We start from the raw sequence: 14,232 nt of genomic DNA, 5'->3' as shown, positions 1-14,232 counted from the left end.
AACATTTTGTTGGTAGTTTGATAGAAGTGGCATTGAATCTGTAGATTACTTTGGGCAGTATGACCATTTTAATGATATTGATTCTTCCAACCCATGGGCATGGAATGTTTTTCCATTTCTTTGTGTTGTCTATGATTACTTTCAGCAGTGTTTTGTAGTTCTCCTTGTAGAAATCTTTCATCTCCTCGGTTAGATGTATTCCTAGGTATTTTATGTTTTTTTTATAGCTATTGTGAATGGGATTGTGTTCTTAATTTGGCTCTCAGCTAGTTGTTGTGTATAGAAATGTTATCGATTTTTGTATGGTGATTTTGTATCTGAAAACTTTAATGACATCATTTATTAGTTCTAGGAGACTTTTTGCAGAGTCTTTAGGGTTTTCTAGGTATAGAATATATTACCAGCAAAGAGAAATAATTTGATCTTGTCTTTTTTCTAGGAGTGTTTTAAAGGAGATATTGCACTGAAGTGATAAATGTAAGTTGATGGCCTTCTACTCCATATGGACTGTAAAACAGTGTGTCACTGAAACCAGGAACATATTAACTTGTATAGGTTTCTTTTCAGTCTGTTTAAATTATTAGAAGGCATGAATTGTAAATAAACTCCCTACAGATCTAGTAAGATCTTGAATTTTGGGAACCCTTTACTTATTGCATGGGGAAAATATATGCAAACTTCACTCATTCATTCAAAAATTTCTTGAATGAGAAAATCAGAAAAGCATATATTCGGTGATCCATAAAACTGTATTTCTTGACTAAGACACAACCTTGAATAAGCTCAGATATGGCTTATACTGTAAAAGGCCTTACTCTGAAAAGTAGAAAAAAGAATGTGAATCAAACATCAATTGCTCTTTTATTGTGTAAAAGGCAAAGTCCTGTGTGATGAGGAGTAACAGTCAGAAGTAAGACACTATTCTTGCCCCCATCAACCTTAGCACTTTAGTATCTACACTAGTCTTAGATCCATCAGAGAAGAGGGAGGAAACTTATAGGGAACAAAAGGATCAACAAAATTGATTCTAACTTTGAGATTTTATAAGCTCTTTCTTTGTCCAATAAGTAACAGGAAACCCAAACTGATTTTTTTTTTTGCAGAGGAGTGCAAGATGGTTAGTAGTTTGGGTTTTGAAGTTAAAATGGCCTGTGTTTAAAATATAGTTCTACCATGCAACAGCTGTGTTACCTTGGATAAATCTCTTAATCTCTCCAAACCTCCTTTTCTCTGCTGTAAAATTAGGACTTTAATGGTATTTATCTTATAGTGTGAGAATTAAATTAGATAATATATGAAAATTGCTTAGCATAATGCTGAACACATAAAAGACATTCAATAAACCTCTTTTCTAAAGAGTGTTTTTAGAAAATTAACCTGGTACTGACATTGAAATTTAATATGCAATTGAGATTGTGGAAGTTTAGGAAATGCTGCTTTGTATGAAATTGGGAATTTTATAAAATGTTACCTTATTTTATCATAATTTAATAGTCATTCCAACTCAGTTGTGCCAAAAAAGGGGGAAAAAAGTCATACTACTTTTGGACATAACTATCTCAGTGTGATCTAATAGCTGCTGCTCCCTTTGGGGTGTTTTACATACTTTCACTAAGGTAAAATATGTGTTTTAAAAAAGAAAAAGTAGCTTTATTCATTTCGCAAAGTTTTGTAAACATTTAAAATAGTTTTTAAAACATTTGGTGAATTAATATTATGTATTGACTATTGTAGGCATTCAACTGAGATAGAGAAGGGATTTGAAAATTTTGTTTCTTGAATGGGAAAAAGGATTGAAGAATAAGGGCCCATTTATTAAAATTCCAGAGGTTTAAAAAGTTATTTTGGAAATCTTAATTGTGAGAAGTTGGGATACCGTGGTTGGAAACAAAATCTCTTCCTCAAGAATCAGGATTTAAATTGTGAATTTCACATTTTAAGATGTACCTGTCATGTCATTGTTCACATAGAATCAACATCTTTCTATTACTGGATTTCTTCCAGAGACATTTTTAGACAATGCTTTTTCTAACACATACACATTTACAAACACAAAACTTTCAAATGTAAGCAACCACCTCACTCTCTCTGCATTGATGAAATCTCGATAAAGACAAGACAAAATGCAGAAGACCAAAATATCACATATTTATAAAAAATTTATGAATCATTCCAAAACTTTATGAAAGTAAGCTGTTTTTTTTTTGTTTTGTTTTGTTTTGTTTTTGTTTTTTTCCTTTGTAAGCATGCTTACTTTTCTATGGATTAAAAGTGCTGACAGCCAGTCTGGAGGAAGAAATTGTGTTTGGCAGGATTCATTTGCAATTAACTAAGGGAGACCATTCTTCAATGGTAGGTTCACCTAATGGAGTGGAGTTGAGTTTCACCCACAATTATTGAATGCTGACAATGTGCCCTACTTGTACCACATGCTGGTGGAGACATGAATAGGACCCAATACTGGAAAGTCAAGGAGCTAACAGTTTCGTGACAATGCTCTCAACTGAGGCAGCTACCACAATATCTGTATCTTTGAGCAGGGCAGCAAGTACACTATTACTAATAATAGTCAAAGTATACCTTCAGGAATGACAACTTTTCATCTATCTAAAAGGATTCAGTGTTATTCCCACAGTGAAATCTCTTGCATTCAGGTACATTCTGACATGTTTTGAGAGGAGCAACAGAAGTTATAGGTAGAGCTTGAATGTATAGGTAGAACTACACGGATTCAGTACCCTCTAGTGAGTGGTCACTATTACCACAAGGTTAACAGTGTGTGCTTAAGGCAGTTTTGTAGCAGTTGTAAATTTTGACGTAACAGTTACCTCCATTGTCTTTTAAATTTTATCCATGAATAAGTTTTTAATGAAAAGAAGATGAGACTAGATAAAGCAAGGGTGCTTACAATATTAAATACATATTTGTCTTATTGAGAAGAATGATGCTCTTTATATAAAAAGAGGTTACAGCCTGTACATTCTATATATTGTAATAAAAATATTTATTTACAAATATCCTTTAGTATTATAATTACTAACATTGATATTTGTTGAATTCTAGAAAGTTCAAAATTCATATTTAAGAAATGTTTCATACTAAAGACAATATTAGCCACATTTATTTCTTTTTAAGAATAATTTTTGAGATCTTTAAAAATATGATTTAATTCTCATGCTTTAAAAACACTTTTTTGAATTCTATGTTAACATAAAAAAAAACAATATTTTTCTGATTTTTCTTTTCTTTTCCTTTTTTGAAACCTGTTTTTTGAACAAACTTTTTCCATGGAATTGTGTAGCTTATATAAGCATCATCTGATATGTGGAATACAATGCGGGGGAAAAAAAGAGTTGAGACACTACAGCCTAGTGCATTCAAATGTAACTTTTCTCAAAATGAATACTTATCACATAAACATTATTGCAACAATGCCTGAGATTTATTCATCTTTCTTTTTCTCCATGTTAAATTATCTTTAATTTTAATTTTAACTTTTTAATTTATTTTCCAGGATACATGTGCAGGATGTGCAGGTTTGTTAAATAGGTAAATGTGTTCCATGGTGGATTGCTGTATCTATCAACTCTTCACCTAGGTATTAAGCCCCACAAGCATTAGCTATTTATCTGATGCTCTCCCTCCCTCTGCCCCACAACAGGCCCCAGTGTGTGGTGTTCCTCTCCCTGCATCCATGTGTTCTCATTGTTCAGTTCCTCCTTATAAGTGAGAACATGCTGTATTTGGTTTTCTGTTCTGTGTTAGTTTGCTGAGGATGATGGCCTCCAGCTCCATCCATCTCCCTGCAAAGGATATGATCTTGTTCCTTTTTATGGCTGCATAGTATTCCATGGTGTATATGTACCACAGTTTCTTTACCCAGTCTATCATTGATGGGCATTTGAGTTGATCCCATATCTGCTATTGTGAATAGTGCTGCAATGAACATACGCATGCATGTATCTTTGTAATAGAATGATTTATATTTCTTTGGATATGTACCCAGTAATGGGATTTCTGGGTCAAGTGGTATTTCTGTTTCTAGATCTTTGAGGTATTGCCATGCTGTCTTCCACAATGGTTGAACGAATTTACATTCCTATCAATGGTGTAAAGGCGTTCCTATTTCTCCATAACCTTGCCAGCATCTGTTGTTTCTTGCCTTTTTAATAATCACCATTCTAACTGGTATAAGATAGTTAATGGGATTTATGCGTCAAATGATATTTTTGGTTCTAGATCTTTGAGGTATTGCCATGCTGTCTTCCACAATGGTTGAATGAATTTACATTCCCATCAACAGTGTAAAGTTGTTCCTATTTCTCCATAACCTTGCCAGCATCTATTGTTTCTTGACTTTTTAATAATCACCATTCTAACTGATATGAGACAGTGTCTCTTTGTAGTTTTGATTTGCATGTCTCTGATGATCAGTGATGTTGAGCTTTTTTTCATAAGTTTTTTGGCTGCATGTACATCTTTTGAGAAATGTCTGTTCATATATTTTACCCACTGTTTGATGGGGTTGTTTTTTTTCTTGTAAATTTGTTTAAGTTAATTGTAGATTCTGGATAGTAGGCCTTTGTCAGATGTATAGATTGCAAAAATTTTCTCCCATTCTGTAGGTTCACTCTGATGATAGTTTGTTTTGCTGTGCAGAAGCTCTTTAGTTTAATTAGATCCCATTTGTCAATTTTTGCTTTTGTTGCAATTGTTTTTGATGTTTTTGTCATGAAATCTTTGCCAGTGCCTATGTCCTGAATGGTATTGCCTAGATTTTCTTCTAGGATTTTTTAGTTTGGGGTTTTACATTTAAGTCTTTAATCCATCTTGAGTTAAGTTTTGTATAAGGTGTAAGGAAGTGGTCCAGTTTCAGTTTTCTGCATATGGCTAGCCAATTTTCCCAGCATCATTTATTAAATAGGGAATCCTTTCCCCATTGCTTGTTTTTGTCAGATTTGTCACAGATCAGATGGTTGTAGATGTGTGGTCTTGTTTCTGAGACCTGTATTTTGTTCCATTGGTCTATGTGTCTGTTTTGGTACCATTACCATGCTGTTTTGGTTACTGTAGCCTTGCAATATAGTTTGAAGTTGGGTAGCATGATGCCTTCAATTATAGTTTAATGGATATAATATTGAATTTATAAATTACTTTAGGCAGTATGGCAACTTTCACAAAATTGATTCTTCCTATCCATGAGTATGAAATGTTTTTCCATTGAGAAGCATTAAATAGACACAATAAAAAATGATAAAGGGGATATCACCACTGACCACACAGAAATACAAGCAACCCCACAGAGAATACTATAAACACCTCTCTGCAAATAAACTAGAAAATCTAGAAGAAATGGATAAGTTCCTGGACACATACACTCTCCCAAGACTAAACCAGGAAGCTGTTGAATCCCTGAATAGACCAATAACAAGTTCTGAGGCAGTAGTAAATAGCTTACCATCCAATAAAAGCCCAGGACCAATTTGGTGGGCGCCTGTAGTCCCAGCTACTAGGGAGGCTGAGGTAGGAGAATGGCGTGAACCTGGGAGGTGGAGCTTGCAGTGAGCCAAGATTGCGCCACTGCACTCCAGCCTGGGCAACAGAGCAAGACTCCATAGAAAAAAAAAAAAAGAAAAAAAAAAGCCCAGGACCAGCTGGATTTATAGCTGAATTCTACCAGAGGCACAGAGAGAAGCTGATACCATTTCTTCTGAAACTATTCCAAACAACTGAAAAGGAGAGACTTTACATGGCACATGTATACATATGTAACAAACCTGCACGTTGTGCCTGTGTACCCTAGAACTTAAAGTATAATAAAAAAGAAAAAAGAAAGAAAAGGAGAGACTTCTCCCTAACTCATTTTATGAAGCCAGCATTATCCTGATACCCAAACCGGGAAGAGATACAATAAAAAAGGAAAGCTTCAGGCCAATATTTTTGATGAACATCAGTGCAAAAATCCTCAATAAAATACTGGCAAACCAAATCCAGCAGCATAGCTCATTCACCACAATCAAGTCAGCTTCATCCCCAGGATGCAAGGCTGGTTCAACATACGCAAATCAATAAACGTAATTCATCACAGAAACAGAACTAAAGGCAAAAACCACATGATCAACTCAATAGGCACAGAAAAAGGCCTTCAAAAATTCAATATCCCTTCATGTTAAAAATTCTCAATAATCTAGGTATTGATGGAACATATCTCAATATAATGAGCCGTTTATGACAAACCCATAGCCAATATTGTACTGAGTGGGCAAAAACTAGAAGAATTCCCCTTGACAACCAACACAAGACAAGGATGCCTTCTCTCACCACTCCTATTCAACATAGTATTGCAAGTTCTGGCCAGAGCAATCAGGCAAGATAAAGAAATAAAGGGTATTAAAACAGGAAGAGAGGAAGTTAAACTGTCTCTGTAGATGACATGTTTCTATATTTAGAAAACCCCATTGTCTCATCCCAAAAGCTCCTTAAGCTGATAAGCAAATTCAGCAAAGTCCCAGGGTACAATATCAATGTGCAAAAATCACAAGCATTCCTACACACCAACAATAGACAAGCAGAGAGCCAAATCATGAATGAACTCCCATTCACAATTGCTACAAAGAGAATAAAATTCCTAGGAATACAGCTAACAAGGGAAGTGAAGGACCACTTCAAAGAGAATTACAAATCACTGCTCAAGGAAATAATAGAGAACACATTCATCTTTCAATACTTGTTCAGCTACAGATTTTGCCTCTAATACTGTCAATCTGTCCATTTTCTGGACCTCAAATTTTCTAATTTTTGTCATATTTCTTTTCAGTTTAAGATTACCCAGTTCTCTGAGCTACTAATATTAAGGCTGAGAAACTCTTTTCAATTATTGACCCGTTCTTAAGACAGGGTAATGAGACCCCCCTACTTAAATGCTCTTTGGAAAGTAAGAGATATAGTATTTAAAGGCAAAGATTTGATTATAAGTCTTATGTTAGTTGAGCGCCTTACTGCATGAATTTCACGTTTACAAGAAACTGAATTAGCATACATGGGGTGACTCAAGAGTGGTAGGATATTCCAAAATTTCTACAATGAACAGGTGTGTTTTGAAATAATGTGAGCCTAACAGGGCTGAGAAAGCTGAATGTATCTAGTACCAAACAGATCCATAAGAAAATAAAAATATACTGGTGGCCAACTTTGGTGCCAAGACTGTGAATTTTAAAAGTACCAACCTAGACATGATGAAACCTTAGAAACTGTGTTCTCAAAAGCGAACAAAGAGGGAAATAAATGAACCACTTAAATTCTTCTGGTAATTTTGGATGTATTTGACTAATTCACTCCATAAAGACTGAAAAATGAACAAACTCAACAAATAACAATTGGTGGTAGGCTTCTAGTGTTTTTAGGGTAACTCATCTTTATGATTATTGGTATCCTGGAATTGGCCCATTGATATTTAGATGATTTGGGTTTGAAAAGTGTCTCTTTTCCTTTAATGACCTAGGTGGATTTTCACGACCTCAACTGTAGATAATATTCAGAACAAATTGAACCCATTTTTGTTTACATCCCACAGGTATCAACTTTTAAAGAGAAGTTCAAACCATGGATTCCAAGTACTCGGACCAAAACACAGTAGAGTATGGTAGGCTTAACTTTTGTCTCCAAAGGCTATACTATTTTACCCATGAATTCAAGTTAATGAAGATACGTGTCTAGCATTTTATCAGTGATATGCATTATTGGACACAGCGAAAATGCCTGAGAAAGCTGGGCTAGAATTACTACAGAGTTTCACAATTCAGTGGTTGCTTTTGTGTTAGTAACTGTATTTTTTTTTTTTTTTTTTTGAGACGGAGTCTCGCTCCGTCGCCCAGGCGGGAGTGCAGTGGCGCAATCTCGGCTCACTGCAAGCTCCGCCTCCCGGGTTCACGCCATTCTCCTGCCTCAGCCTCCCGAGTAGCTGGGACTACAGGCGCCCGCCATCACGCCCGGCTAATTTTTTTGTATTTTTAGTAGAGACGGGGTTTCACCGTGTTAGCCAGGATGGTCTCGATTTCCTGACCTCGTGATCCACCCGCCTCGGCCTCCCAAAGTGCTGGGATTACAAGCGTGAGCCACCGCGCCCGGCCAGTCAACTGTATTTTTAAAAAGTTAAGTTAACTCTCTATTATCCTTCTTCTTGTCAGGGACAAATAACGTAGATAATGTGGAATACAAATATACAAAATATAGTTATTATGTGCTTTGGGAAACCTTAGGTGGATTTCTGTTGTTAACTGTCTTTCTCTCTTTTCCTCTATCTAAAATTTTCTTTGCATTTAGATTAAATTTTCTATCTAATTACTATGTAGGAAACAATACAAGTCAAAATTAAAATCTGGGCTTGTACAACCCACGTGATAAATCATTCTGCACGTGAGAAATCCATAATGATTTCTTGGATGAATTTAATGTATGACATATATGTAGAATTTTATTAGAACCTAAGTAGCCATGCTATTAGAGTCAAATTATAAAGCATATATAGGGTTCAGATCATAAGAGAAGCACTGAGCCTGCCAGAAATATTTGCATATGGAAAATATGGCAAACGAAGACATGTAAGTAAGAAAATAAGAATTTTAACACTTGAATTCTTCTATTTAGTTTGTTCTAGTTCCCCATGACTGAATAAGTCTTAAATTTGCCTACTCACAAAAGCCTGTCTACTTATATTTTCTTTCATCTATCCATCTACATATCTACCAAAGAAACTTTAAATGTATACAAATATAAATTAACTGGTATTGTTACGATACACACTATTTCATGTAAATATTTACATGACTTCACCATACAACTAGAGCATACATTTAGAAAATGTTTTGACTCCTAACACACTGAAGCATGCAGGGGCAAAGTTATTTTGTCTCCACTATGAGTTCATAGGGTTATGCTTAAGGGCATACACAAATGCCTGTTATACTTCATTCTGTTTCAACTACACTCTCAATGCTCATTGCTATCCATGGACCTGACTTTCAAATTGTTCTCCTATTGATCTTCTCTCTTCTCCCTACCACAGTTTGCACATTCCATATTACTTTATGCTGAGTCTTAGCTTAATATTAGATTGGTGCAGAAGTTATCATGGTTTTTGGCATTACTTTCAATGTAATGTGTTAAGTAAATTGTTGGAGCAAGCTAGTTTTATTCTTTTCTTCCTTGTTTATATCCTATGAGAGGAGTTGATAATGTAATTGAGTAAAACACAGATCATTTATTGGGTCATATTTTAAAGTAGAGAGTGTTACTATACCTCCAATGCCATGACCCATGCATTTCCATATCCTATCCCTAGAACCTTTCACTTACTTTCTTGTATTAAACAGATCAAATAGGTTCCAGAAACAGACCTGGCTCATTAGTGCTAACTCCTGCATTGTCTCTTGCTGTTTCGGCTTTTCTACATCTGTGACTTCACCATGTTTGGTCTATTCTGAGACCCCCAAATCTTAGTTTTCTGAGGAAGAGAACAGGATTCTTGTTGGAGTCCTCATGTTTAAACTTTGCTCTTAATGAGAGAAGTTGTGCAGGGGGCTAGTAAAGACAGACCAGATGGACCTTTTGAAACTAATATTGTGTTCATTTCCCATGCAGTTGTTCCTTTCATGCATAGTTCCTTGGCCAGAAAAACTAGAGAGAAAGGGTGCAAACCTCTTCCTTGCCCCTGAAATATTAGACACATGCTTTATTTACTGATTTTGTGGCATCTATTTTGGCAGCTTGGAAACTTCTGGGATCCTTGTTTGTATTCTTGATAAGTAAGGTTTCTGTATAGTTGAGTTCTAGATATCTGAAGTGTTATTCTACTTATTTTACAATAATGATTGATGCTTTAAAATACAGACAGTTGAACTCTATTTAATATGGACAGTCTTGTGGATAAAATGAGTGTTAAGTAGCATTAACTTTGTTTTAGTGCTTTACCTACTCAAGTAAAATTTTGAGTTAGAGAATCAGTTGCAGACTTTCTAGGAAAGATTAAACTAAATAATTTTCAATGAAATTTTAGGCAAATAACTATTATTTCTTATGTCTTCTGTAAAAAGGAAAAAATACCTGAGATTGAAACTAAAACCCAATTCAGATCACTTGTATTAAACTCCATTTGAGAGGTTCACATTTTTTTCATTAAAGGAAAAAGGTATTTTTTCCCTATTCCATTCTGCAAAATATTCTCCTTGTTATGGAGATTTTGGGTTAATTTGTATAGCTGAAGCCAAATTGAATTGCCATTTTTGAGTCAAATTTATGATTGACTGAATTGGGCCATTATTACTGGAAAGAGCAAAGATTGTTTTGCTGAAGCCCTTGAGGTGTTGAAGACAAAATGTCTGCAGGCAGGCAAAAAAAAAAAAAAAATCAAAACTATTTTTATGTGTAATGATATGACTAGACACTTATCTCAGAAACTGTTTTGATCAGAGTCCAAAGAAACAAACACATGTAAGTGAGGGTTGAGACCTTCCATGAGGAAATAGGCAAATATTTCACACTTTGCTTTTGTTAATGCTGCTGAGAAGACATTGCTTAAGACTGTGGCAAGTAGGGTGGGATTTGAGCTGCTAAAACTATAGGGATCTTTTACTTAGCCTAACATGTAGTCATGAGAGACACAGAGGTTCTTTTTTGAATTACTAAGCTATTACTTTTGAATTTCATGTACTCAGATATCCCACAGTTTCTATTTAACATTTACTAAACCACTTACAGGATTTCCTTCTGGAACTAGCAGAACTCAGCTCTGGCAGGGACCTGATAAAGTTCTAGCCCTGGATGAGAGTAAGAAATAAAATCTCATTGCAATGCTGTCTTCCAGGGAGGATAGATAAATAAGTCCTATAAAATGTATGTCTATTGTAATACTCTTTTTAGGAGGTCCCCTGCCCCAACACTGTAGTGCAGTTTGGGGATCTAAAACCAGCTATTAAACAGTTATGCTGTACTAAAAATAGAAGACGTTTAAGAAACTCAAGTAGTAGTTAGCATTCTATATGTTAGTTTAATTTGAAATTAATTTCAATAATATAAATATTTATAGAACTTTTTTGAAGTGGGTCATATCATTTCTATTAGACAACGCTCAAGGTATTGGAAAACAAACACATGACTATATTCAGTTATCTCCCTAGAATATCTTTGGCTTGAAATTATTAGCTTACACGGCCAATTCAGATGGCTGCATGGAACACTCCAGATTTCAAGACATCTCTCCTGTTGTAGCATTTATCTTGTTTTAGCTTCACAGAATATAATTATTAACAACAAAAATATTCAGAACAAATGTCTCATATATTTCTATTATACTTTTATTTAGATTTGCAAAGAATTTCAAAACTTACCTAGTGAAGTTCCCTTTCTACTTTTAAGTAAGACAACATTTCAAGCATTTGGGAAACCTGTATGCGTACCTTTTCTTAAAATTCTCTTAAGAAATGTACTTTAAGTAGTCTCTAACCAACACATCAAATTGTACTGATAGGTTCCCACATATAATGGCTTGTTGCAATTACAGTTCCTTAAGTTGTAGGCAGGGGTTTGGGAGGGACCCTGGGGGTGGGTTTGGGAGGATTTTTTTTTTTTTTTTTTGGAAACAGGGTCTGTCTCTATCGCCCAGGCTGGAGTTGCGGTGGCAGGGTCATAGCTCAGAGCAGCCTGGGTCCCCTGGGCTCAGGTGGTCCTCCCACTTCAGGCCCCCTCCCACCCTCCCCACAGTAGCTGGGACTACAGATGCGCACCACCACACCTAGCTAATTTTTTTTCTTTTTTTTTTTTTGAGATGGAGTCTCGCTCTGTCACCCAGGCTGAAGTGCAGTGGCATGATCTGGGCTCACTGCAAGCTCTGCCTCCCGGGTTCACACCATTCTCCTGTCTCAGCCTCCCAAGTAGCTAGGATTACAGGCACCCACCACCATGCCCGGCTAATTTTTGTTTTTTTTTTGTATTGTTAGTAGAGATGGGGTTTCACCGTGTTAGCCAGGATGGTCTCGATCTCCTGATCCCCTGACCTTGTGATCCGCCCGGCTCTGCCTCCCAAAGTTCTGGGATTACAGGCGTGAGCCACCGTGCCCGGCCACGCCTAGCTAATTTTTGTATTTGTTTTTGTCTTTTTTTTGAGATAGAGTCTTGCTCTGTCACCCAGGCTGGAGTGCAGTGGCGCGACCTCGGCTCACTGAAACCTCTGCCTCCTGGGTTCAAGCGATTCTCATGCCTCAGCCTCCCGAGTAGCTGGGATTACAAGGACCCACCACCATGCCCAGCTAATTTTTGTATTTTTAGTAGAGATGGGGTTTCTCCATGTTGACCAGGCTGGTCTTGAACTCCTGACCTCAAGTGATCCCTCTGCCTTGGCCTCCCAAAGTGCTGGGAGCTACCGTGCCTGGCCTAATTTTTGTATTTTTAAATAAAGACGGTGTTTCACTATGCTGCCCAGATTGGTCTCTTGGGCTCAAGCGATCCACCAGCTTCCTCGGCCTCCCAAAGTTCTGGGATTACAGGTGTGAGTCACTGTGCCTGAGTGATCTTTATCTTGTCATAGTCTGTTCCTTTTTTAGCAGTCTTTTCTCCAGCCCAACCTGATAAAACTTTAGGGAAAGAAGATTTTTTTTTTCTTTTCTTAATAAATAAAAAATTGGGAGGCCCCTGTTTCATGTTACCACTGGGCAATTTTACTTTCCCACAACTTGTGTACTCTAAGTTCTCATACAAATCCATCCTACATTCTTTGTGCTCCAATTGATGATGGCCTTGATGAGTCCTTCAAAGAAACAGGGAAAAGCTGCACACCATCACCGATACTGAGCTCTCGGCGTATTTGATGACTTTTGCCTCCTTGCTGACTGCTTTGACAGAAGCAATGTGTGACTCATCAGGGGCGGCTCCTGAGTCATGGGGTGATAACACAACTCCTGTATCTAAGATTCCTCAAATCTGACACTCACACTCACTGGCTTAAGAGTGCAAGAATGAATAACAGAGGATGATTTCAGGAGAGGATTTGTGTCCCCAGCTGAATCTGTACTTTGCTTTTGTTTCAATTTGACACCCGAACCTTGTTTCTAAAAGTTTGACGCACTTGCTTTCTGACATATAAAGGTGACTTCTAAGTAGTACTGGCTTCACTCAAAGAGGGAGAGGCAGTGCCACATGAAGAGTGAAATGAGAGATACCAGGAAGGTCCTTCCAGCAATATTGAGTCATCAGAACCAGGAATTTCTTGGGAAGGGGTAGAGATTAGTGAAAAGATCTTTACAGACAGACCTGGACTTGAATTTCTGCTCCACTTAATAGCTGATAGGAAAGTGGGAAGAAAAAGATTGGTGGTAACAAATCTGAGGGGCTCAGGATTGTGTGGGGAATACCCTATGCCAACAAGAAAGGCCTTGGGCATAATATATGTTTGTATATTGGGGAAAGCTGGGGTAACATGAGAGGATCATGGAACAGGTGAGGTGTGATAACACCAAAGACAAATGCTAAATACTTTTGTTATGATAACAATAAAATAGGAAGAAAAAGGATAACTAAATCTGTCAATACTCAAATGTACTTATTAGATTTAGAACCCTCTTTGTCTCTCTCTATGTGTGTGTATATATGTGCATATATAGTTAAATATATAACTATTATATATATTATACATATATATACATATAATCTTCTGTGAACCTACTGTATACCAAGTAATGTGTTAGATATTGGGAATACAAAGATAAATAAGCCATGGTTTTAAATAAATGGTTTTAAATAAACCTTAAGTTTGCACACCACTTTGTATCTTTCAAGGTATTTTTGCATAGATTATCTCATTCTATATCTTCAGAAAGTTATGACAAAGAGATATTAGTCTAGCTTAGGGTATACTGAGTCATAAACGTCTGCAGGGGAATGGTGTAAGAAGTGATGCCCTGTACCTTGTTCTGGCACCTTTCCATGTGACTTCAGAAAAACTGTAGATCTAAAAGGTCTAGGAAAATCAGAACTGTACCACAGGTGTGGATTAACCGGTACTAGAAGGTATAAATTATGCAGCCTTGTGGATGTAGAAGAAAAAGGTATCTCCCTCTATAACTTTTCTGAAATGTCCTGTCCCCTGGGGAAAGAATCTTGCTCCCTTGAGGAAGTGCCAGGACATCTGTGAGTCCATGAGCAGAATCACATTAGCTGCATGTGTTCCCAGTTGGGGGTTGT

The 14,232-nt window shown here is 36.6% G+C and overlaps 1 annotated feature.

Annotated features, from left to right (window-relative positions):
- Positions 12,822 to 13,116: an enhancer, noted in NCBI's record as "tiled region #6868; K562 Activating DNase unmatched - State 9:DNaseU". NCBI's record gives its function as "activates a minimal TATA promoter and a strong SV40 promoter by Sharpr-MPRA in K562 cells {active_cell/tissue: K562}" and the evidence as "EXISTENCE:reporter gene assay evidence [ECO:0000049][PMID:27701403]".

The sequence above is a fragment of the Homo sapiens genome, chromosome 5, assembly GCF_000001405.40.
Source record: "Homo sapiens chromosome 5, GRCh38.p14 Primary Assembly".
Taxonomy (NCBI): domain Eukaryota; kingdom Metazoa; phylum Chordata; class Mammalia; order Primates; family Hominidae; genus Homo; species Homo sapiens.
This window is presented reverse-complemented; position numbering and strand designations above follow the sequence as displayed.